The sequence below is a fragment of the Homo sapiens genome, chromosome 2, assembly GCF_000001405.40.
Source record: "Homo sapiens chromosome 2, GRCh38.p14 Primary Assembly".
Taxonomy (NCBI): Eukaryota; Metazoa; Chordata; class Mammalia; order Primates; family Hominidae; genus Homo; species Homo sapiens.
The window spans coordinates 162349046-162376095 of record NC_000002.12 but is presented as its reverse complement, the minus strand read 5'-3'; the positions used below and the strand labels follow the sequence as shown (position 1 = coordinate 162376095).

The window sequence follows — 27050 nt, the reverse complement described above, 5'->3', positions numbered from 1 at the left end:
TCTGAGTGAATGAATGAAAATATTAACTTCACGCAGCTTTATAATTATGCTGACAGAAGAAAAAGTTCTAAAACTATGTTATTTTCTGTTTTAAATACCAAGCTGGATTTATTTTAAATTCTCTGTAATTCCTCCTGAGTAAAGCAGGCTATTTAGTCTCAGTATAAGAGTCCTCTTTTTTTTCTTTTTTTTTTTTTTTTAGATAGGGTCTGGCTCTGTCCTCTGTCACCCAGGCTGGAGTGCAGTGGTGCAATCTCCCAGGCTCAAGCCTTCCTCCCACTTCAGCCTCCTGAGTAGCCGGGACCACAGGTGCACACCACCACACCTGGCTAATTATTGAGGATTTTGCCATGCTTCCCAGGCTGGTCTCAAACTCCTGAGGTCAAGTGATCCACCCACCTTGGCATCTCAAAGTGCTGGAATTACAGGCATGAACCATCGTGACTGGCCCAAGAGTCCATTCTTATTAAGCTAACAGACCCTTGTCATAAAACACTGAAATACAACCCTATGCATATAAAAAAACCTATCAGCAAACTGCTGCCCTTTGTTGAACTACCCAAGATATCTAACAACTAGTTAATAAAACAAAATTAAGTCCCACTCATGGCAGTGTGCTGCAATTACTGGATGTATGGATGCTGAAGCCTCACCTTCCAATAGATTTTTTCCTCATAGACACTATTCAAATAGGTAGAATCCATGATAAAGAGATTTTATTTCTCAGAGACAGCTGCTGTTTGGCAAAGGATTTATATGACAAAAACATCACGATAATTTTTGACTCATTTTTGGATCTTGAATCTCCCTTGTTGATGCAGTTCTTCTTCCAGTCTTTCCCCCCAAATCCTTTTACATTCAATGTAATAAACATTGTTGTAAGCCACTCACAACTGAATGCTGTTAGTAATGGAATACATTTGTACAGAAATATTTATGATAAATCTGAATGTATAATTTTCTTTGGAGGCTCAGAGGAGAAAGTAATTCTGAATGGGGTAAATAAGGAAAGATTTTGGGATACAGATAACATATAAGCTGGGACTTGAAGAGTGAAATGAAAGAAAAATATGTATAACACATAACAGTGAAATAATGGGTCTGCTTAGTTTAGTTGGAAGCATAAAAATTAGATCAGACCTTCAGGTATCAAGAGTAGATAAATAAACCAGTTGATAACTCAATTTTTCCCTTTTCAGAGTGGTTTTGACATTTGCAAAAATGACATTTGCAAAGTCATGTATCATTCATAGCTATTGGTTTAGAAGACACAAAGCTATATGGCTATATTTACTAACTATAGAAAAACTGCAAGAATAATGTGTTATTGTGATTCTTAGAAGGAAGATTTGGAGTGTTAATATCAAAAACTAAAAAAAAAAGAAGATATTTTCTCATGTTTTCCAGGTTTATTATGTTCTCTATCAAATCAAAAGCTAATTTCTACTTTGAATTCTACAAATATAGCATGAATTTAATTGGGCAAAATTAATCCTATGATTTTCCTTTTTTTGTTTTATTTCCATTTTTTATTCAGAGGCAAAACAGTCAGCGCAAATAAGTGAAGAGTTAGAAGAATTTTCTAAAGAGGCATATGGTCCAAATTTTCTGTTCTTATGTCCACAAAATTTCCTCTGTATTTAATGCTGTTGTTAACACATGCAAAGGAGGGGAATCTGACCAATTATATTTTGCTATTTTCCCTTAAATTTTAATTTAAAATGAGAATGAAATTAACAGGCCAGTTGGCTACTTGTGAGCTTTAGGGAAAAAATAAACTGGTATTTTGCAGGCCAGATGGGTCATTAGAAGCAAGTGAAGTCAAGTTTGGTCTGCTTCTTACATACCAAAGGCCATGACATATTAAGAGGGAAAAAGAATTTAACATTTAACAGCATTAAACATTAAAGAAAGAATACAATGAATAATATACAATACTTAATATGAATAGGACAGAGGTAAGGTTAAAAAGTGTTAATATAAATGTAAAAACACATAAGAAATTATCCTGGGATGCTACAGTTATGAAAGAAATGTGCTACCAATCTATTTTTTAAGAGCAAATAAAATGTTCACAAGAAACTGAGTAAAACCTAATTAAAAAGCAAAGACAATTACTGATTAAAAATAAATTGTCAGTGTGTTTTACATTTTGAAATCAATGAAGGTTAGTAAACATGTAGTCTATTTTGTTCATTTGATTTTCTGTTAACTCTTAATATGAACAGGAAAGCAATAGTCTTTATCAGAATAATTAGTGAGACATACACAGTAAGTATCCGTCAGGAAAGAATCTCTGTGCTCCCTCTCCTGTCCTTCTTGTTTAAAGCAAGGCCATAATTCTGTTTCTTGGTAGTGCTGAAATTTTTTTAAATGCTCCTGAAATTCTGGACTATTTTAGACTGTCTTTTCCTACTTCTGTCTGTTCTGTAGGCTTGAATCCCAAATGACCACTGACATCCAGACCATCTTACAGTTGCTGCAGAAACAAACCACTGTGGTCCCCCCAGCCTACAGTATGGTAACAGCAGGATCAGAATATCAGAGACCCATCATCCAGCTGATGAGAACCAGTCAACCGGAAGCATCCATCAAAACTGACCGAAGTTTCAGCCCTTCCTCACAAGTAAGTGTGGATACCATCCAACCAAGAGTGTCTCTCACAGTGTGTTTCCAGGGGTCACCTAATCAGAATCACTTGGGGTGCTGTGGAAAAGGCAGATTTCTGTCCCTATCTCTGTTTCTACTCAAATAGAATTTCTGGAAATGGGCCCTGTAATCTGCATTTTAAACAAGCCCACGCTGATTTTTATGTTCATTTAAAGTTTGAGAACAATGAAGCTAGAATAATAATTTTAAACATTAGCATTTTTTTTAAAAGGAAAACCTTTCTTCCAGAATCAACCTGCTTAAATTTACATGTGGTAGAGCTTTGAAATCTAAGGAATAGTCTTCCTGGCTCTTAAAAGGGCTTTAAGGAAAAATCTGGGTCCCAAAAGAGCTTCAAAGAAAAATCTGTAATTTTCTACAGTGCCAAAGGCTGGGAGAGGTCTCAGGAAGGAAGGGGAGGAGAAATAGTAGGCTGGCCAGATTAGACCTGAGGTTCAAATGCCATCAGACTAGTAATCTTGTCTGTACCCCACCCATCACCAGAGATCTCTAAATTTTTTTACTTGGATGATAAACATGGTAAGAGAAGCAATTTAAAGAGTCCTTTATCCTGCTTCTGAAGCCCTCAAAGGGGTCCTTTTGAATTATGTTAATGTAAGTAGTCTAGCTTTCCTTGCAATTCTATTTTGGGAATTAGTCTTAATTAGTTAAACATTATGGTGAAATTGGACCTAAGAACAATGATTTAAATAAAGATTTGTAGAACAATCTCATAAAACTTTTTTAGATGTTCGGGAATTTAATTTAAGACGTTCTGGAAAATGAAATTACACTAATAAGAGAAGGTAATGTGTCAGAAGGAAAATAACGCAATACTTCTAAAAATCTGAAAGTAGAAATTAATTTAACTAGTTTTGAATGACTGGGAAACATGTAAAACCATCTATTTTGTTCTTTGTTTTCAGTGGATTTAGGTAATATTATCTGACTAGGGATGACGGATTTTACTTCCCATCTTCCCATCTTTTCTTTCCTCCTTATACCCTCTTATTCATCAAGTGATCCCATTCCTCATCCCAATTTGTCTTAAATTTCGAATTTAATTCATCTGGAAAACTCAATGTAAAATAATATATATTTTTTTAAATCTGATTTTTAAAATCTGGTTCCAGGGTTAAATAAAAGTTCTTGGAATGGTTGTTTAGGATTATCTGTACTGATAACCAATCTCCGACGTCCTGACTCATTTTAGGAGGGAAATGTTGGCTAATATCACTAATCAAATATAGATTAATGAGGAAAGAAAATGCTTAAGTTTTTATTAGTGTAATTTTCAATGACTATCTATCAATGTGAATTATAAAAACTTGTTTTGTTCTTTTTCCATCAGTGTCCTGAATTTCTAGACCTTGAAAAATCTAAACTTAAATCCAAAGAATCCCTTTCAAGTGGGGTGCATCTGAACACAGCTTCAGAAGACAACTTGACTTCACTTTTAAAACAAGACAGTGATCTCTCTTTAGAGCTTCACCTGCGGCAAAGAAAAACTTACGTTCATCCAATTAGGCATCCTTCTTTGCCAGATTCATCCCTAAGCACTGTAGGAATCGTGGGTCTTCATAGGCATGTTTCTGATCCTGGTCTTCCAGGGAAATAATCATTTTGTACTATTTACTCCACATACAATGTAAGTGCTTTTAATGGCTGTTTTCCTTTTTCTATTTAAATCCTCTCTACTTGACTCAGGGGCTCACAAGGTACCATTATATGCAAAAGTACTGTATATTTTCCTAAATTGAAGCTTGTAAGGTAAAACTGAGCAGTTAGGATGTAAATATACATAAGAACTTTTGGTTCCAAATGTTAAAACTGCCAGCATCTCACGGCACCTTATTTTTTATTTTTATTTTTTAAATCACATGCATGTTAGGAAACTCCAATTTCTCTTGCATGGAGACTCCTATTTACTGCTTTTACTAAACCAGTACTTCGTTATGAAAATGCCTTCCACGCAAATAAGAAACCAAGGGATAAAACTGTTCATGGATGCAACTCAAATTCAGATGATCCTCAACTCATGGGAATTCCAGGGGGATAAAGGGAACTTAGTCACTTTTGCACACAGATTCAGGTCTTTCTGTATCAAGATGTTCAAAGTTAATTACGTTCATTCCTCCACACTGGAAGAAAAAATACAAAGTTTGAGTTGTAAACCTCTGACAGTATAGGAAGCCATATCCAAAAACTAAACATAGGCCAACAGTAATGAGAACAAAGGTCTTTCTATTTAAAATTATGTCACCAATTGCATTTACAAACCATCTAAAGTATTTTCCACTGGCACATTTCCTAGAAGGCTTAAAAACAAATTTCTCTCATTTTGCTTTTTTTCTGGAGGCGGGGGATGGTGTGGTCTCCTTAAGTACTGCTAAACTGTGATTAACACAAACTGATATCCACAGCTTTCTTGTGATTCACATTTTAAAGCAATCCTGAGCGGACATACAGCCTGGGCAACATGGCAAAACCCCACCTCTACAAAAAATGTTTAAAAATTAGCAGGGTGTGGTAATTCACACCTGTAAACCCAGCTACTTGAGAGACTGAGGTGGGAGGATGGGTTGAGCTTGGGAGGTCAAGAGTGCAGCAGGCCTTGATCACACCACTGCACTCCTGCCTGACAATACAGTAAGACCCTATCTCAAAAAATAAATAAAAAATAGTCGACACAGTTTTCAAAAAATGTGCAATTTCAGTGGATTTGCATGGCAAAACTAGTTTCCATTAAGTATATGTTATTCCATGTCTAATTGCAGCTGCGGGAAAGCAATGGGCCTAGAAAGAAAATGCACATACCAGCAGTAAAATTTCAGTTGTGTTTAGTTATTCCAACACTTTTGCCAATTGAAAATTAAATAAAAATCTATTATACATGATTGGAATGAATATATATTGACCTCAGAATATCAGAACATACAATGAAATATATCTTTCAATTAAAATATCTTCAACTGTTAGATTTTTTGTGGGGGACATATGTATCTCATAAAATTGGGGTAAAGAAAAACATTACAATTTAAGATTCTGATCAGTCAAGTTCTAGTTAAGAAATGTTATTTTTCAATTCAAGTACAATTTTAAAATTATGAACTCTGATCCATTATATCTTTTCTTGCTGAACAAAAATATTGAAATTTATTGAAAGTTTGTTAGTCCATTAAGAACATTTTATCAGTGCACATTACTAAATGGGTTAATTTCTATCCCTTCAGGATATTCAAACTTTGACACTGATCTGTTAATCAGCTTCAAATGCAAGCTATTTCAAGTTACTAAAACTATTGCACTGTTTAAAATGTGATTAAAGTGACCTTAGATTGCTCCCTATGTATTTTTAAATGGTCACATAAATTGGTAATCCATGTGGAAGGCAATCTGTAAGCAAAAGCATGTTCTTATTCCTGCTTAATTTTTGAAAAACCAAAACACAAATGTTCAAGTGCATTATTCAAAATGACCAGTCAATTCCAACATATACTATTATACAAAAGTGCAATAATTATAACCAGCTTCCCAAACTATTTGGTGTTATGCAGATACAAACTTAGGGGCTAACTGATGCTTTCACTTCCTCACTCAACATTCCATGGTGCCTAGCAGGGAAGAGAAAGTCCTATAAATGGCCAACTCTGATTCAGAGGACTATTTTGGGATTTTATTTCCATATTGGGACACATTTTTGCAGCTGCAACAAATTTCATAAGGATTGCCGGCCTAAGTTCAGGAACATTCAGAATGAATTCACCAGAGAATGTTCATTTGTAGGGAGAGAGGATTTGGCAGGTGAGGAATGGAGATCTGATTGATTAGTGAATGCCTCAGCTGCAACATTTGGTATGACATGCATAAAATCCAGCCTCCCACATAAAACTTGTTTATATTTCTTTGTGAAACCTGAGCATGAAGAAATAGGAAGATGGGGAATGGTGTGCAAGCATCCAGTTTATTTAAATTCTAGCACAACACAAACCTTTTTCTTAATTCCTTGACATCATTGCTTATATTAAAATCTTAACCCTCAGAGAGTTGGACAGGATTAGGAACGTCCCTTCCTACAGGATATTAGCTTAAAAAGAGACTGAGCAATATAAAGACGTGATTAGTTGGGCATAAATGTCAGAAGACTCAATGGCTAAAGTGACTTACAGATGACCAAAGCAATTATCTTGATGTACAAAATTCATCCCTTTCCCCAGCCAAAGATCTAATGCCTAAATGTACCATCATCCCCCCTGTTGGCTATTGCAAAAACAGTCTGACCTCTCCATCCAGGGATCATGCCGAGAGCCAGGTTGAACTGCTGCAGCCAATCATAATGGCAGTGTAGCAAATGCTTTCCTTCTAGGTAATTAGAAGCAGTAATATAACACCTTTTGCTCTCCTCCTAAAAATAATGTTACCTGGTCCCCTGGCCTAAATAAAATGTCATTTAAAATCTAAAGTTTATTTGAATCCAATGATCTCCTGCTGTTATTAATTGCTGGGCAAAGAGCTGAAACAGACTTATCATTCTCCTCCATAGGGGAGTCACATTATTTAATCAGTTGAGAAAACCAGGAATAAGAAATGATGAAGCACAATTCTCATGGGGTTTTTAAATTAATAATCACTCAGTCAACAAACATAGGAAGGCAGGGGGCAGATTTGGGACAGAATAGTTTCTTAAGTCCATTATAATGTATTGGTCATCAGAGCACAACTATCCTACTCTTCTAGTCAGGAAGTATGGGAAGTAGGTCAGGGCATTTGAGGTCAGGTTTAATATGTTTGTGTAAGAATTGCTTACAAGGTCCTTTTGGAGGGTGAACTTTAGAAATGGTTCCAAAATGACCAGAAAAGTAAAGTTCTTATCGAAATGTCATTTTAAAACCCCATCATATATTGTCTAAGGATAAAATGTATCACCTTATTGGCATATCTAAAATTATTATTATTTTAGATATTATTTTAGATACTGTTATTTAACAACAGTATCATTCCTCTAAATGACTTTCATGATTTAAAAAAATATTCTGTAGATGTTATTAGAAATGAATTGCATAACAGAGTGTCTAAATTGCTTATCTATGGCTAAAACCAAAAATAGATAAATATATGTAAATTACTTATCTATGAAAATCAAAATTTTTATGTTATCAAAAAATCAAGTTATATTTTTACAGTAAAACAAATATGTTTCTATCATGTGAGTTTGAAGAGGCACTTGAAGACAGGATGATACAGGACAGTGGTCCTCAAAGAGTGGTCCTCCAACCAACACTACTAGCATCACCTGGAGACTTGGCAGAAATGCATATTCTTGGCCTCACCCCAGATCTAGTAAATCAGAAAATTTAGGGGTGGGACCCAGCAATCATCTTTTAACAAGCCCTCCCTCACGTGATCCTTACACACACTAAAAATTTGAGAATTACTAATGTAGAAGAGCAAGCATAGATTCTGCATCAGACCAACTTGGGTTCCAATACCAGTTTTTTCATCAATAGCTGTGTGACCTTGAGCAAGTTAACCTCCCCCAGTCTTTTTCTTGAATCTCTAAAAATAAGGCAATGGTATCTGTCTCACAGAAGCTTGAGAAAGAAATGAGATAAAATATAGTAAAGTGCCTGGCATATACTAGGTGCTCAAAAAATGCTGAGTTCCTTGTTTCTCGTCCAGAAACATGGCATTAAAACAATCAGGAGAACAATTTCCCAAGATTTAGATTTTGCACAATGTGCAACGTCTCCAACAACATAGCTGTTGCCAAGATGAAAGTTTTTGATTCAGAAAAACCTACATGTAACTATTGTTTTATCTCTCTTAATTGTATTTTGCACTATTAGGTTTATAGCTTTAAAGTAATACTATTTACAATAATAGTGAGAGTGTCAATCTCCTTGTTATAAACATATCTACTCTGAATCGATGTTATACATGCCAAGTATGTAAAGTAATCTGTCGATCAGTACTACTAGAATGTATTCTATAAAGGCTGGCTCACTGTGGAAGTCCTTCTTTAGATCTATGATATAGTCCTTAGATGGATATCTGAAAATACATTTACAAAATACAATTTTGAAAGTATATAATTTTCCATTTTTACAGAAAATATAATTTTACAGTTGCAATGGTTTTCAGACCCCTAGGCCACTCTCTCATTGCACAGATATGTTACACAGTCTTAAACTGGCTAAGCTCTTGTGCGGAACGGTGGAAATGGCAGGGGACTCAATGTGGTAAACCTGAATTCAAATTCTACCTTCTCCATTTATTCTTGGGACAAACCCAGAGTAAGCCCCAGTATCCAAAATGATAAAAAATGGTGTTAGCATCTAACATATCTTGAAGGGGTGTGTTGAGGATCCTCTGAAAATATAAGTAGAAATGCTTTGTAAACCATAAAGGACGTTATTTCTTACAGTAAATCTGTGTGTGATTTGTGCATCATCATAAAGATAGTGGAATATGGGGTAGTGCAGTAGCACTACTTAAGGTCTTCTAAAACACTTTCTGTTGCTCTTTCCTTTACCCAACATGCACATTCATACTGTATAACAAAAACTTATGAAGTCATTTTCACATGCCTCCCAAAGATCTAGTTGCTCAGAGCAGGCGAAAGCCAGTATAGATAGCATCCTTATATTTGTTAAATATTGCTTTTGTCCACCATTCATAAACTTATACATTTGCATTGCAATTGTTTTCTAGCTTTGCAATAGCTCATCCCTCTCTCCCTCATGCCTCAAATGTTCCCAAAGTTTTTTCTTGTGGTTCTACTTACGATGTGATGTTAAACCACTTTACAAACTAAAAGGATCATGTTTCAAATGTAAAGTATTAGGTGTTGTGATTGATCAGTGCCCAACAGTAGAATAATTCCTCACATGCATTTGTGGTACAAACACACTTCGGTTAAATGTCAAATACAGAAAATTAACAGAAAGACATGAATTATTAATAAGCAAAAGCATGAAAGGAAATTACCGTGAGGCTTATGTATATAAACTATTAAGTGGAGATTGAGAGATGACTAACAAGTTATTTAAAACATGTTATTACTACGAATACATCAAAACATCTATAGAAATGCAATGTTAAGAACACGGAACCATATCAATTGACAAATTTCATTGCTGTACCATTCATGATCAAACTTTTAAATGAGAATAGCAAGATTAAAGAAATACTGCCAGTAAAATAGTACTTATTATGAGAAGTGGCAATATTAACATAGTTATTCTTGAAAAGCTAATGTCAAAAATTAGATGAATCCCCTGAATGATAGTCACTACATCTGTGACTTCCATTAATTTATGTTTTGAAAGATGTAAAATAATTTGGTATACCTGTGGTTTTAAAGCACTATGTTTAACCTCTATCCTTTGTATTTCCTCTTGTGTATTTTAATGTTTTTATATTGAAAGTAATCACAACTGTTAGCATTTAAACTGTATTATTTATACTGACATATATTGTTTGGATATATAAGAAATTCCACATTTTCATCATTCTTATTTAGGGGTAAAATTAAAGGATCAGTAATCTTATAATTAACTCCCTCACGTAGTCTCCTCAAATGCCCCTTTATTTATAATAGCACTGAAATGATATGGCATCTTTCTTCCAAATGTTGTATAAGATTAGAAATATTGAGGAATCTCTAGTTTTTATCTCCTAGCCACCTAGTGATTTCAATTAAAGGCACATTAACGCTTTTTAGCTGAAATTTGCATTTTATAATTTTGATGGGAAAATGTATTACACCAGAATGTTTACCAGTTAAATAATAATACATTTCAAAAAAGAATGTGTGTAGTCACTTGAAAATGTCAGTCATCTGATACAAAGCAGCTCACTTACATCTGGCTAAGTAGTAAGTACCTTGGAATGCTTTAAACAAAATGAAACAATCTACCAAAACACATACTATTTCCTAGTTTTTATGCACATAATGTAGCATGAAATCATAACGCTTTTGAAATATTCTGTGCAGAAATATTTATTTTTTAGTAAATATTTTCTTCAAAGATTGGTATGTGGTATTGACAGTGTAATCTACTTGCACAACTAGTTTTGCAATAAGCTTCTACAGATAACTGTAAATAAGAAAAATGTACATTTCATGTAAAAAATGGTTGCAAATTTTTGGTAGCTAAGAGAAATGTACAAGTTGTATTGAAAATATAGTATATATACATAATTTAAGAATGAAGCATATAATTTCTGATCTATTTATACATGAAAAATTCAAGAATTTGTAAAAGAAATTATTTTGGGGAAAAAGAAAGTAAATCTCATTAGCTAAGTAGGATACTTTTACTAGAGAAGCCAACTTTTTCCAACATTTTACTAGGAACAGTACTAGATATAGGCATGGTGGTGCTGATGTTATTTCATGAAATCACATGTAACAGTGCTACAGTTTTACTGAGTTCCATCAGGACACTAGTAAGATAGACTGAGTGGCAAAAAGCATTAAATCTAAAATTAAAGAAGCATAATATTTCACCTATTATTGCCTGTTAAGACCACAACAGTGATTGACTAAAACATTTATTGTTTACTTAAAATTTCTGGTGGATAAACAGGCTTTAACTCATGTGCAAATAACTTTTTATAACATACGTTTGCTTCATTTTTTTAAGCAAGAATGAAAATATCCAGATATTTTCTTTTGCCCGAGTTTCATACTTTCTTAATTCCTCCCCCTGTTGCTTCTCTATTATTTAAGGGGAAAAATATCAAACTACCTTCAAGAAAACTTGTAAATAAAATGTGTTGGCCATAATGTGGCATGTAAGCTAAGGACTATTGAGTCTGTTTAGTGGCTTAGATTTCCCAACCTTCATCTTAAGGGTTTAGAACACCAAGAGAACATTTCCCTTTGACAAAAGAAAAACCAAACACAAATAGCAGAAAAAATTGTATTGGTATCTACAACCAAGGCTGATCAGAAAATGAGAATCTAAATATGAAGAAACTACATATTTTAGAACTTACCGTAAATTATCTCTTGCCATAATATAAATCTGAGGGTACCACAAATAGATAGCTATGGGAAATTAAATATGCATCCAAAAGTTCAGAAAAATCTTATAATCATTTGAAAATGGCTTATTATTTTCAAAAAAATGAATATTTAATAAGTATGTTTCTGGGATATTCATACTAGCACTCTTCAGGTTATCCTTTGAAAATTCAATAATTACAACAAAATGAAATTTGATTCAATAATACAGTCAACTAGAATGCAAATATCTGTATGTACGTATCTGTACATACTTACATTTTTATGGTTAAGGGAAAACATTGGGGTACCTCTCACAATATGTCAGAATTAGGACCTAATCACTCCTAAGTGTTCCCAAATATTGCTATTAAATGATGATCTAGGCCAATTCTCACTCCCGGTAAGCTTTGCAAATTGCCACCATCTCTGATGTTACAGAAGGGGCACATCTGAAAACATAATTAGCACATAGGGAAACAGCTTCCTCATTTTCTTACTGTATGGCACATCATAGTGATGTAGAAGTGTTGCCAATGTCTACTCACTATTCAGATACACAGAAGCACACCTGAGTCCTGAATACTCGCAAAATAATACACAAAGCTGCATATTACCAACCTACTTGGAAAAAAGGAATGCTAAGTATATAAGACTCTTTCTTTATATGCCAGAAAAACATATTTTTAAAAACAAGTAGAAAGAGATATGGCAGGAAATGATTAAAAGCACAGATTTCCCAGCATTCAAATAATGAGCTGATAGTGAGTCAGAAATATTTTTCCTAAGTTTCCCAGTGTTTTGCTGGAAAGTAGTTTTCTGCTCAGAATTCTAAATTACAGGAAAAGTTTAATATATGTACTATATGATGACCTCATTCTAGACTTCAAATTACCTGAGCAATATTCATTTAAAATCCTGTCTGCACTCATAACTTCTAAATATTTACCAGTTCTAAATATTTTAATTTGTATCATCTAGTATTATGTATAAACTCTAGACATATTCTTGGATGATATTTTAGCATTATGTATTTATTCAGATGTGCTTAATTCACTATGTAAATGATTGAATTGCAACCCAAAAATTGGGATCTTCTAACACAAGTTTCAAAGTAATAAAACACCCATGGTTGCATTTTAAAGCTTATGGGACAGAATATGCCTGCCTGAAAGAAATCTTGGAATTTACTCATCAGATTTAATTCACCAGATATTAACAAATTTATTTCTATTAATTACCCAGAAAACTAGAAAAGCAGAAGAAAACATATCATTTAAGAGTTTGTCAAACGTAAAAAGACAAAGAGCACATTTCCGACAAAGAGTATTTATTTTGTTTGTCCAGTTTAGTAATGCCATAAGATTACAGGCAAACTTAATGTCTTATATTTTACTTAAAGAAATAATCACAAATTGATTTTTTGTTATTTTTTTTAACTCCACAGACTTTAAACTGTATTAACAGATTCTACTTTCTTCTAGGGTAAATGCCTTTTTTGGAAATAAACATAACTTGACTACATTTTTTGTTACTTTTTTCTGGATGCATGTGTAAATAGGTCAAATGAGAAATCCTTGAAATTACATTTAAAGTGGACCAAATTAAGATTTCCATACTATTGATTTACCCTTGATGTAATTTAAAATGTGTAAACTGCCACTCAGAATAGAAGTGCAATACCTGACATTTAATAATTTGGCAGTCTTTTAGATATAGGTGAATTACTGCACTGTTATTTGAACTGAAGCATCTCATAATATATATATATGTAACAGATTTTGTATGATACAAAACTTTACAGCAAGCTATTTGAATGTTTATTAAAAAAATTCTCAAAATGACATGGAAACATGTTTACTGTATAAATAAAAGCACTTATACATTAAGAGTGTACATTATTCAATAATTTACATCATCGTAAAAGAACTGGGGTGTAAGTTAACCAGTGCAAACTACTATACTATATTCATATTACAGTCATGTTCATCATAAAAATATCAGTTATTTTTAAAGCATCGAAAAAGTGAACTGTATTTCAGTATAAAAATTCTGGTAAAATATTCTCTAGGCCTAATGTTTTTGTTAACATAAGTTTGTCTGTTTAATGTAAAGTGCAGAAGAGTTGCCTGGCAATTAAGTTGGATCGGCATAGAATGTTAGGTTTTGCTAGAGAAAGGGGTTCTGTGGTCAAAAAGTTTGGAAAAAACTGGGTCAAATAAAATTAAACATGACTGATTTTATTAACCTTGGGGTTTCAGATGCTAATATACCTTGTCAAGCTTTAGAAAGTGAGAGTTTCTAAATATGTTTGGCCATGGAAGCTCCTTCATAGACCTTCTATGACCAAAAGTCATAAGAACATTTTTAAATGAAAATTGTGTTAAAGAGTTCTAATATAGAGTGTCACCTGGCAGAAGCTTACATGAATAATACCATTTGTCATTTTAAAAGTTTTACCTCAACTGTGAGCCTCCAAGTAAGAGAGATAATCATAATCGACCGCAGAATAGTTCAGTAACGACCATCTGTATAACCTGGATGTTAAGATTACAGGTTGCTGAGCGACATTATCACCATTCGATGTGAACGACACTTAGTGTTTTCACATTTGCTTTTTCCTACAACACTTCTAATTAGAATTCTGTTTCTTTAATTTCCCAGCTCAGTTAATGTCCTCTCACATTATCAAATATATGTTCATAAAAAAGCCAGAGAACAAAATTATGTGTATTACCTATTCACACATTTTTATAAAACTGACCAAGTGAATTTGACAGCAAATTATATAAAATTATCAGTGTCAAGTGACTATGCGTTACTTCCTTTCCAGGATTTTTTTAAGTGAAGGCTGATTTAAAATTCTGTAAGTTTATAAAAGATTTTGTTCAAGATATTGCCATCTATCCTCCATCCATTAAGAAACATGGGATTTTATAAAATCTATAAATTAATTTGGTCAGCAGTCATAAAATTATGTCACTCACTGTTAGGTTAGAAAATACACATTTAAAGCATAAGAAAAATAAGTGGTTTATTAAATCTTCACTAAGACAGACATGAGGTGTTTGCCAAGAAAGAAATTACATTAATTATAACATCTTATACCAGGGATATTAAACACTAAAGATCTGGTGATTCTACGTCGCATTTTCGGCAGTTTTAGTACCACGCAGAAAAGTTGCTGTGGTGCCTACTATGCTCAAAACACCACATCACATAGATGCACTCAAAATACTTACTGGGTTTTTAATGGCAAAGCCACCACTAATGTTAATGTTGTCAAATAAGTCAAATGTAAAATTTCTGAACAATTAGAGTGGTTAATTACTTGTTTATTTTTAAGTTTATAAAGAGTTGACATTACATTTAAACAACAATTTAATTAGGACAATTTTGAATGTTGACATATCATCAAAAACATATGCCATTTCTAAAAAGTCTAGATTCAGAGCAGGATGCCATTTTAGGTGAACTATGTCTTCACTAATGAAATAGGACGCAGAGAGAAATACTATGTTTATTAAGAACTTTTTGCTTAGAGAAGACAATAAAACATATTTAAGAAAAATATATAATACAAAAAATAAAAAAGGAAAAAACAATGCCTTCTGTAGTCTTATTTCACTACAGATTGAACTAGGGAGATAATTTTCTTCTTCACAGACAAAGATCTTTAAGTTTCTTTTCTCTGATTATTTGATCAAGGAACAAACTATATTACAAACATGGCACAAAATCCAGGCTTTCATTTCTAGCCAACCCTCAAACACCACCAACTACAAAGAAAATTTAAAAGTCTAATTTGTAACCTTCAGATAAGTATAAATTAGTTTTTTCTAGGCTTTCATTATTTGGCTTCTTATACAATCTATCTTGTAAAGTACATTCCTCTAAATTTACATTATCTAAAATTAAGGCTAAGCATTATTTAAATCAATTAATCATACAATATTTTATGACAATATGCACATATTTATAAAATAACTTTTCCAAAAGCAGTAATACCTCAAATTAAAAAAGAAATCTTTTATTGCTTTGAACTATCTGCTAAAATAAAAACACACAGAAAGGGAAGAGGTTTAACAGGTAGGAAGAACATAGAAAACCCTTAAAAGTTTTAAAGTAGTCCAGTTCACTTCTTCCAAACAAAAGAATTCACAGTGTCTCTTCAGGTTTAAAATTCTAAGCATTCAAATTGCCATAGTGCCCTGCAAAAACTAATACATAAGTGAAATTATTATCTATTAAGAATAAAATGGTTTTTAATTATTTTTGACTAATTATATTCCATAAGAGCATTTTCTTAAGAGAGAAAAGTTTGTTTCCAAGGCTTATAATTCAAGCCAATAAATATCAGTAATGTTGACCCCATAACTTCCATCAGTAAATATAAGAAAAACAAAACAAAAACCCTGAAACATTAAAGCACAGGTAAATATAACTGTCTTATACCTTGAATTTTAAAAAACCCTGAATATCAGGTTAATAGTAACCATTTGAAATGAGAAATGAACAGCTTCATAATCCGTCACGGATTAAAATTTTTCCCTCCCTGAGAAAAAATATCACTACAGTAAACTACCCTTTTTAAAAATAATGGTGGTTTTGGCCCTTAAAAGTGATTTGAAAGATCATTTTTTTTTTAATTCAAAAAACCTGTCATAAAAATTGAAAAGCATATTTACAATTTAACATGAAGTCAAATTGTTTGGCACCTATACCAATATTAATCTTATATTTGTGTTACACTGAAAAATATGGAAAAGTATGTGGCATACCAAATATATTATTTCCAGTACTGGTACTTGGGATCACTTAAATTTTTTTACTAACTGAGAACTATCTAGAATGCAGTATAAATATCAAAAGCAGGATACTCACATCGTCATATATGAAATTCGCAGACCCTTGTTGCAAGTGGTCTCTTTTCCTAAAGAAATCTTTAAACAAAGAAATTACTTTTTTATTGTAATTTAAAATACATAGTTTCAAATATTTAGTGCACCCAGGTACACAAAAAGAATAATTTCATATTCAATTAAATATTAAGTGATTGAATAGCCCTGGCAACAGAGATATGAGAAAAACTTCCAAAAATAACATAACGTTTTTATCATTTATATTCCTTAATATTTGAAGCCTTTAAACTAATTAGATTTAACAGTGAATAAAGGGAGAAAACACATATTATTATAAACTTGCTGGAGGAAATGAGACACATTATTCAAGAAAAATAGCTACATAACACTGTGCACTTAGTTTTAAATAGTCAATACCTGTCAATGCTCGAAGCTTCACACAGCAAGCAACATAATCATCAAAGAAAATTCTGCCATTCTTGCTATAACGTTTAACAATAGTAGTTAATGTTTGAGGACTCAACCTATAACCTAAAAAAGAGATAAATTAAAACTTCTAAATGTAAATAACATAAGAACACTGCAAGATTGCTTTCTCATTAAGTCATAAAATAACTTTCAAAATTCATTCCACAAAAATATAATTAGAAACAAAACACATGAATATTGAAATTCATCAGACAAAGGCTTCACTGTTAATCCTGTTAATCGGTATATAAATATCACAATTCTAACTTTGTAATAAAGTCAAAGCTAAGGAAAAGAAAATAATTCTCTTCTTATGAATTTATCATATATTGTTATTTTGAAATAATGTCTAATTTCATGGGTTTTAATGCTTCAATATTTCAAGTATGTAACTTTGTATAGTTCTTAAAGAATATAAATGCAAAGATTACTAATGATCTTTGTTATTCAAATGATATTTCCCACTGAACATATTACTTGCAAGTATCTTTTATAACTAAGAGAAATTTGAGGATCAACATGATTACTCTACAGGGGAAAAAAACAGAAAAACATTCTTTTTTGTCCTGGAATTCTTAGTGTTTCTTCATACACTGTAATAATAATAACAGCTTTCTCGCTATTTCACTGATTTCCTTGGTTCTTTGTTCAGTAGTCCTGTGATGTCCAAAATCTTTGATTTTTACTTATATCAATGAGAAAGAAGTTTTTGATCATTCACTCCCAGTATGTTTAAATTAATTTTAAATTCTATACATGTATTATTGTTTGATTACTCCTATTTTAAAAAATACATAAAATCTAAAATTTAAAACGAATACAACTGAATAAAAACATAAATTAATATATTCTACTTGCTGTACCCTTATAGATGGTCCTATGCATTTAATGAGATGTATACATTTTACTAAGAAGAATGGTAGCCCAGTATTATTGCCCATACATTACTGGATTTGTAGACTTGAACAAATGACACTAATCAATTCAAAGGTGAAAACAACCAAAATAAATGTAACAGGAGAAAATTATACATGCAGCTATAATAGAATGTAATGTGGGAAAGGTATAAATTGAAAGAAGCAGTAAAACATGCAAACTAATGTAATTATATGCAAATATATTTTGAACTTCATATTAGAGAGTTATGAGCTAAATGTGGTACTGATAAAATTCCTAGATTTTCCCATAGTATTCTCAGAAAAATAATTTGAATATTTTAAAATATACATGAAGATCTTAAATTTGGATAATCCAGAATACCCTTTTTACATTCCACTGCCTAACGGGAACTCTGGAGGTTTTCTTTTCTGCCAAAGATTACATTAATTTCCCAACATTAGGCTGAATTAAGGTCCAGGTTTAATCCATTAGGTATTAAGGATCTATAATTGAACTACATATGTTTATATGGGCTGGACTGTCCCTACTACTAAATTAAAATGTCTATTTATAAAACAAAACCAAACAAATCACTAATTTGACTTATTTAAATTGCAATTTGAGATAAGCCCACTTCCATTGGGTTCAGATTTTAACTTCCAAAAAATTAATTTTCATACAAATAGATTTTGTTTAGAAGAGTGTAAATCACAAGCATAAGAACAATTCATAAAGCTACTTAAAACTGCATTAAGTTTAAGCAAATTAAACACCATTGTATGTTATCCATTTTAAAAGTACACTAGGAACATCAGCTTATCAGAGGTATAAGAATAAAGTTATATACTTCTAAATTACTCTAAAATGCAACCTTTCCATCCTGATGTATTTTGGCACCTGCTATGTGTTCTGCACTATCTAAGAAAAAAAAGACAAAAACATGGTTTCTACCACTGAAAACCTATTTTGTACAGACTTTTGACTGACTGAGGCAAGCTTTGGCTCCCAATTAGATATCCTGCCAAGTTATAAAAGAATACAATCTAACTGGTAAGTACTAACAAAGAAATAAATTTAAACACAACAGAAGAAATTCAGAATGTATGCATGTATGGAAGATCATCTTTTGAAAAAAATCATAATTAAAATGGTTTTGTTGAGGTCTTTGGTCAGAATTTACCTACAACCTTGAAAACAAACAAAGGAACTTGCTGGCAAAAAAATACATCCCTTTATTAGTTAGTAAATTGAAGCAATTAAGTTCATCTAATCAAAGAACAAAGATTAGCTTTATAGATTCTAAAGAATGTTAATGTTCTTACCCATAAGACCAATGGCTTGACGCAACTCATGATGTTCTACTGTGCCACTTCCATCTTGATCAACAGTCATGAAGTTTTCCTTCCAGGCATTAAGAGCTGCCCATAGCTCTTTGAATGCATTAAATCCCATTTTTCCTGTGTGATCTCTCTGATAGTTTTATTAACAAAAATAAATTCTGATACCTGAGTTTATCTGACTCTAAATCATTGACTAAAACATGAGTATGCTTCTGTAGACTTAGCCAAACTCATTATATGAACAGACTTCTGCATAAAAACTAGAAAGCCTAGAATTTAAACAGGATCTTACAAAGTATTTTTAAATTCACTAGTTTACTACAGGCACTGAAATCTAACCACTGGCTTGATAGTCAGAAAGCAATTACTCTTTATTCTAGTATTTTCTATTTCTATTCAAGGATACATCCAACATGGCAATCATAATTCTGCAGGTTTCCAAACTGAAGGCTGTAAAACATATTCAATATTTAAATTAGAGTATGCCCAACTTTATCTATGTAAAATTATGACAATCTCCAGTTTCAAAATAAAACATTAAAAAACTGCCAAAATATATAAAATCACCACAATCAACAAGCTATTATTGAATGTTAAGCACCCATTGTTTAAAAAAAATTACTGCCTTCAAAGTACTCACATCTAGTGAGGGGACTAAGTTAATTAAATGAGCAATTACAAACTAACTGAAAATTACTGTGACAAAGACATTCCAGGTATGTAAAGCACTTGGCTTCACCCAAGCCTGGGGAAAAGGAAGGCTTCCAGTCTTCATAACACAAATGACAAGTGGAGTTAAAGTAGAAGTTTGACATGTACTCAGAGATCACAAAACTTGCATTAAAGTATATGGGAGAGAGTGACATATGATGACATCAGAAAGGCAAATGAGGGCCAAATCATGAAACTTTTGAATACTACCCCCAAAAAGTTTGGGCCAATGAAAAGCCACTGAAGTGTTTTCAGAAGCAGAAGGGAAATTCTAAAATTTCCATTTTAGAAACTTAGTTTACAATGAATAAAATATAAAGTGAGATGATATTGGAAATAGGTAAGTCCATTGGTAATTTATTGTAATAGACCAAGTAAGAAAAAATGAGCATCTGAATTGAAGCAACTGGTTTTTCTCGGGGGTTGGGGGGAGAAAAAAGGAAGAAAAAATCAATACAAGCTATCTTAAAACCAGGGGTGATTTGAAATATTAACACTTTCATATTTATAGAACTACAACTGATGACCTATTGATAAAATTCAATTTTTCTAATCCTTTTCTAATTTTTCTAATCCAATTACATTCAATTTGTATGCTGACATATCTCAAGACTAATTTCATGCCCTGATAAAGAAAACATCACGTTAGTACAGTTTAAATTTACAAAGTGCTTAATAGCAGCTTGTTAATATGAATGAATGAAAATTTTCAAAATTATTTTATCCATAACATCTTAACATTTTATAAAAGCAGAAAATTATTTCAGCTAAATTTTAGACCCACTAAAGAAAAAATTATAAGACATTCCAAGAGTTAAAATTGCTGATTTTCTTTAAATGTTTAATATAGTATCAATGTTAGAATTGTTGGTTGTAGTATTTTCAAATTGACAACTCAATAGATACTCAATGTGTTCTTAGCATGAGTAAGGTGGCGTGTGTTACATGATTTCACATAAACATGCTAAACGTATAATAGTTCCAATTGTAAAAAAGGAAGAAACTGGGACCCAGAAAGGCAGTTCCCCACGTTTACAAAGCTAAGGCTATACAACTGTCAGAGTGAGGGGATTACATGAGAAATTTCTGGAATGGTATTTCCTCTTTTGGGCAAGTAAATAATATCTATTTTGCTTTACAATTAACTTGGCACACATTCATAAAGTGGGAGAATCCGAATTAATGATAATAGATCGCTAAAACTGAATCAGCAAATGAGCAGATCTTCAATCTCAGAATAGGAATGTGTATGTATAAGAAGAAATATTTAGGACAAAGAGTGGAGAGACAGACTTTTCAGGAAAGTTGACAGATTTTTCACTTCCTCCCCATAGCCCATTAGAATGGAGAGTAAACTGATTTAAGGCATAAAACTTTAGAGAAAAAGAGAATTAGACAGGAAACAAAGTAACAAAATTTTGCAAGTTGAAGAGCTGATGGATGTGAGTTAACCAACCTAGATCTGAGAAAATGGATTCCTGAACTTGTAATGAGAAAAGCTGAGAAGCAACCCTTGGAGAAGACCCCAAATGCCAAAGAATTGGCAGTACTTCTGAAAGTGGGTGTGAAAGTGGAGATAAAAACAGAAGAATTGGCTGAATGTCTACCTAAGGAGCATTCTAAGCCTCATATCCCCTCCCTGCCTCGGTTCAGTTGGATGGATGCTACACCTACTTCCAACCCAGCAGAAATCTGGAATTTTATTCTCTGGAGGAGTCTCTGAAATGTAAGATACCAGAGCTGAGACAGGGCTATCTTCTAAAAGCAAGGCAATTAAAGGACAATTTACAAAAGATTTGAGAACCCTTCTGAGTCCACCTCTCCTTTCCAGGCAGAAGGTCAACTGAAAACCCAGTCCAAAAGGGAATCCCTAAAGATACTGACACCCAGAGTTCCAAGACAAAACTGCCCAGCCAAATCACCATACAGTGAAGCCCACAATCAATGCCTAACCATGATCTCAGGGCTTCTAATCAGCAATTTAGTTAAAATAAGAGCAAAGCAGTATCATCAGATAACTGAGAAAAGCACCTAACATGAAAGACAACCAAAACAAGCAAAATGAGGAGAAAAAACAATCTGGAAAAAACAAAGGTTATATAGGAAGAAAAAACTTTAAAAATATATTAATAGTCTCAGAGAGATAAGGGACAATATCACATTCATGAAAATAGAACAGAAGCTCTTGGATATTAATGAAAAGCAGAAATGAAAGACTCAATAGAAGGTTTAGGAAATAAAGTTGAGGAAAATTCCCAAAAAGTTCAGCAAAAAAAAATGATAGGAGGAAAAAGATGATAAAAGTAGAAAACCCAGTGAAAACAAAAAGCATTCCAAGAAACAGAAAATATCATTGAAGAAAACGTCCTACATCTAAAGCAAAGGAGTTTCCAGGCTGAGAATACCATCTGAGTTCCCCACACAACACAACTAGGTACTTTACCATCAAATCGCAGAATACTAAAGACAAAGATCTCACAAGTTTCCAGAGAGGAATAACAAATCACATCACATCCAGGCAGGAAAGAGAAAGATAATGCAACAAGGGACGCTAGAAACAATGGAGCAATACCTTTAAAATTCTACTTGAGAATCATTTGTAACCTAGAATTCTATACCTGGCCAATCAATTCTGAAGGTAGAATGAAAGCATTTTTAGATACATAAGCTCTCAAAAATTTATCTCCCATATATTCTTTTGTTTGTTTTTGAGATGATGTCTCACTCTGTCACCAGGCTGGAGTGCAGTGGCCCAATCTCAGCTCACTGGAACCTCTGCCTCCTGGGTTCAAGTAATTCTCCTGCCTCAGTCTCCCGAGTAGCTGGGACTACAGGTGCGTGCCACCACGCCCAGTTAATTTTTGTATTTTTAGTAGAGACGGGGTTTCACCATGGTGGCCAGGGTGCTCTCGATCTCTTAACCTCATGATTCGCCCACCTCAGCCTCCCAAAGTGCTGGGATTGCAGGCATGAGCCACGGCGCCTGGCCGTATTTTTTTTTTATATTAAGAAGCTGCTTAACTATACATTTCACTAAAATAAGATAATGAATTTTTTAAAAGAGGACAACAAGAGATGGAGTAAAAAGGAGATCTAACTCAAGAGAAACGGGGAAACCAGCTTCAGAATGATGGTGAAAGAATCCCAGTATGACAGCTACACATAAAAAACTGCATATCCCAGAGTTCTAGGATAATACCTGACAACTAGTGATTTCAAGAAAAGCAAAACATTATATAAAAAGGAAAAGTAATCATACATTATCATAAGATACAGCTATAAGCAGCATTCAGATAGTAAAAATAAGGTAAAGACTAACATACCTAACAAAAGTTACTATATATTATAACTACATTGGAAGGACAGGAGGATGGGAAATGTTCCTCTGTGGAGTGCAGAGACAGGGGAGAGTTTAAGGTTAAAATAAAGTGAAATCCTCATCTTTCATAGCAGGATATCAATAGATAATCATAAAATCCAAAAATCAATCGTGAAAAAAATATTCTATCTTGAAATCTGGAAGCAAATTTCAAAAGAATCAGATTTTTAAAAGTCAAAAGAAGTGTCCTCTATGAGCAGTTAATGTTAAGGAGACAGGAATACACAATGAACAGTTATTTTCATAACGAGTTTTACAGTTATTTGACTCCTTAAACTATGTGCATGTATAACTGTGATAATTTTTTAAACATTTTAATTACAGGGACAAAAAAAGTAAGAAAATAAACTTCCTATTATAATTTCAACAAAAGGGGAAAAAAGATCTCACGAGAGTAAGTTCCATTAATTCCAGACTGTGTCAAACATCTCTGAAGTTCTTCAGCATCCACTTCACCATCCTGTTTAAAAATAATTATGACCTAATTTAATGTGCAGTTGTATAAAAGCATATTAAAATGTCAATTGACTGTTCTAGGCCAATCAAGACATATGCATTCTTTGAAACATTACTCTATAATTAACTACAAAATTCTAGAGATAATTACTGACAACAAAGGCATATTACAAAATATCATACCACAGAAATAATTTCTTCCACTTCTGAAGAATAGCACAATTACCCTGTTCTATAATGGTTCAAGACAATCTCATAAGAGTCATTGTACTTCTATTTTAAACAGTTAGAAAAACAGTTAAACAGTTAGAAAAATGCCTAAAATGTGTTCAGAAAAGTCTCGAAAACATCCCCACTCATGCTGTTTTGGGAGGAGATTATTTATAAATAATACTGAAGCTTTAACTGGAAGGGGAAAATATATTTTCCCCCACCATTACCCCTAGCAAAATTCTAGAGTCCCCCTGTATCTTGCTGCTATTCTTCTGATTACTGCCCAAACAAGTCTTGCCTGAACTTACTACAGAAAATAAAGTTTTAAAATGCAAACAAGAAATCACAATGGAAATGAAATAGGTTGAGTATTCTCATTATGATTTAGTACCTCATCCTGTTTTTGACAAAAATAAGTAATTCCTTTGGAACCATCACAAACATTGGCACAAATGCAAAATGTAGCTATGATGAAGGATCAAGGAGGCAAATTTAAAACCTACTCTTCATAAGAGATCCAAGAAACAACAAAACAAAAAACTTTTCTAAACTACTTCTAAGAAATATTATTAACACTCACATTCTAATGGATTTTTGGCAAAAGAACCCCTTACAAAACTGCAGCTGTTCTAATAGAAATTACAAAATACTAAGCAGCATTCTTCCCTTAACTGAATTAGGTAGCATTAGCGGTAGAAAGCTGAATGTCCTAATTAAATTACAAGAGCATCAGGTAGAGAATTAACAAAAATCAATTGCCCTTCGTTAGGCAGCAAGATTTTAAAATGATATCCAACTTCAAGTCCTATTTGTTCAGTTACTCAATTTGAGTCTCCACTTACTTATCTATAATACAAAGGTAGCTGTGTCATGCCCACATCACAGTTGCTGTGTGGAAAAGTAGAAGCAGTGTGCATACAAAAGTTAAAGTTGTTGGTATTACTGTGATGCATGTGTCTGTATGTATGAAGACAGAAACCAGAATTTCCCCAAATTAATTGATGATTTAATCCTTACTGTTTAGAATACTTCATCCTATAAATAAGAACACTGCAGAAACCTTTAATCAGGTGTTTTTCATAGAGCATTATTAATTATGAGGCCCATCAAAAAAGGATATGGCTGTAGATGTAAGTTCAGTAGTTGGGTTCCAGGAGCAGTATACCTAAGTCAGATGTTGCACCTGATCCCTCAAAGCTAGGTAGAACTCAATATATGAAAAAATACAGTCTAAATATTTAGACTAAAAATTGAAAATGGGATAGTTAATTCATCCATACGAAACATTTATCAAATGTTTATATATTCCTAATATCTACCTGTCAAGTAGGGAAAATATGACCAGAACCCTGTCTTTATGGAGTTTATTTATTCAAAAGCACAAGACTGGGAAATTTAAGGAAAGTATCAAATAGTTCAAACATAGCGAATTTATTGCTGACAATTAAAATGCTGAAATAGTTCAGCAGTCAAAAAGAGTTTCCAAATATATGTCCAGTTCATATACTTTAAGTTGTAATTTTATATGATGAATGTATTATATAGTCAAACAGAGATAATAGAATTATTCTCAGTATAATACTACTTATTCCCAGTATAATCCTTTAAAATGGCAATGGTATAATGAGTAGAACAGTTAAGGTACCATTTAGCTGCAAACAGGAGAAAATATTATTGAAGATGCTTAAACCAATAGGGGTTTATTGTTTCATACAATAGGTCTGAGGCTAGGCAGAACAGGGCTGTATGGCAACTTAGACATGTCATCAGTCTCTACATTTTTCCACATTCCCTATCTATAGGTCTTTATCTCAAGCCTGTTGTCTCAGGGTCACGAGATGGCTACTGCACCTCCATACCTCAAGTCCCCTTTCCAGGCAGGAAGAATGAAGGGGCAAAAACAGCCACAGCCAAGGCTTGCTCCCAGTAAGGCTTTTTTCATTTGGGGTAGAAAGATTTTCCAAAGATACTGCACCTACATGTCAATGGTCAGTCCTACGGCACATGGCTGCCTTTAATAGCTACAAAGGTATCTGGGATGGTGACTATTATAGTTCCCCAGCCTCTATTACATAATAAAAGGTAAAAGGGGGTTTTAAATGAAATTGGGGTAGCCAAAACAGAATGTCTGCCACGTATATTAATTCTGTGTATATTGTCTAATCCTAGAAAAGCACATTAGACCTAGTGAACACTCAAGGGAATGAATAAAATGTTATTAAAGTTCTATAAAATTCTACCTACATCAATAAATCTTTCTTGACCATTATAAAAGAAAAGAGATATGGACTACAGCTAAGACTCTAGAGTGAATTTCTGTTTCTGCCCATTAGTATGGTATTAGAACATCCATTCTGCCAGTTTCTTTGCCTTTTCCTAATCTGTTTTATCATCGAGCCTGTCCCAGAACCATCCACAATTTACAAATCTCCTCTTTGATACATTGCCCCAACTCCTTCAAGATGATTTTCATGTAGATCTCTTTTTCCAAATCCTCTCTGGCCCCCAGTCTCCATGCACCAATCCACTGTATTCCATAACCACAGAAGAGCTTTCAACTTTCCCCCCAAATTGTTAAACAAGTGAATGAAACATATCAAGAAAAAAAAACACACATCTTAAAAAGATGTTCCCAAATGTTTCATTAACACATGCAACTATCTTAGTTCATCACTCTTCTAAGAAGTTTTGTAGACAAAAACACAAATATAGCAGGTGCTGCAATACATGCTGAAGCAGCAGCAAAAAAAAAAAGACAAGCTCATTTATTTCAACAACAGGAGATAAACATCAATACACCCTCTTTTCAATCCTTTAATATATCTGGAATTCATGCTACTATATGGTACAGGCTGAAGATTTACATTTACTTTTAGATAAACTGTTAATTATTTCAGGATAGTTAATTCAGGAATCATTCTTTCCCCACTGATATGAAATGCTACCTCTACCATATACTGAATTCACAGGTAAGCTTCTGGGCTCTTCAGTATTATGTTTGTTTTTACATTAGGACCACACTATCACAATTATTAATAATACATTTATATGATATATTATAATTTAATATTTATTCTCAACAA

At 33.0% G+C, this 27050-nt stretch overlaps 2 protein-coding genes across 20 annotated transcripts in view; one reads left to right on the top strand and one right to left on the bottom strand.

Annotated features, from left to right (window-relative positions):
- Nucleotides 1-4689, top strand: part of KCNH7 (potassium voltage-gated channel subfamily H member 7) — a 467361-nt gene extending 462672 nt beyond the window's left edge. For all 5 annotated transcript variants that reach the window (XM_017005220.3, XM_017005219.3, NM_033272.4 and 2 more), the window contains 2 exons: nucleotides 2434-2626; nucleotides 4001-4689. In XM_017005220.3, the coding sequence (XP_016860709.1) occupies nucleotides 2434-2626; nucleotides 4001-4267 (460 nt within the window). In that variant the 3' untranslated portion in view covers nucleotides 4268-4689. The remainder of the gene's footprint in view (nucleotides 1-2433; nucleotides 2627-4000) is intronic.
- Nucleotides 700-27050, bottom strand: part of GCA (grancalcin) — a 56634-nt gene continuing 30283 nt past the window's right edge. For 6 of the 15 annotated variants that reach the window (XM_006712398.5, XM_006712400.5, XM_047443881.1 and 3 more), the window contains 6 exons: nucleotides 23689-23758; nucleotides 19615-19658; nucleotides 19191-19338; nucleotides 16939-17052; nucleotides 16544-16602; nucleotides 4491-4790 (listed from right to left, as the gene is read on the bottom strand). In XM_006712398.5, the coding sequence (XP_006712461.1) occupies nucleotides 4716-4790; nucleotides 16544-16602; nucleotides 16939-17052; nucleotides 19191-19338; nucleotides 19615-19658; nucleotides 23689-23758 (510 nt within the window). In that variant the 3' untranslated portion in view covers nucleotides 4491-4715. Of the gene's footprint in view, nucleotides 4791-12972; nucleotides 15880-16543; nucleotides 16603-16938; nucleotides 17053-19190; nucleotides 19339-19614; nucleotides 19659-22362; nucleotides 22685-23688; nucleotides 23759-27050 lie in introns of those variants that run through there. The other 9 variants (NM_001330268.1, NM_001330266.1, NM_001330265.1 and 6 more) reach the window with 4 other exon arrangements.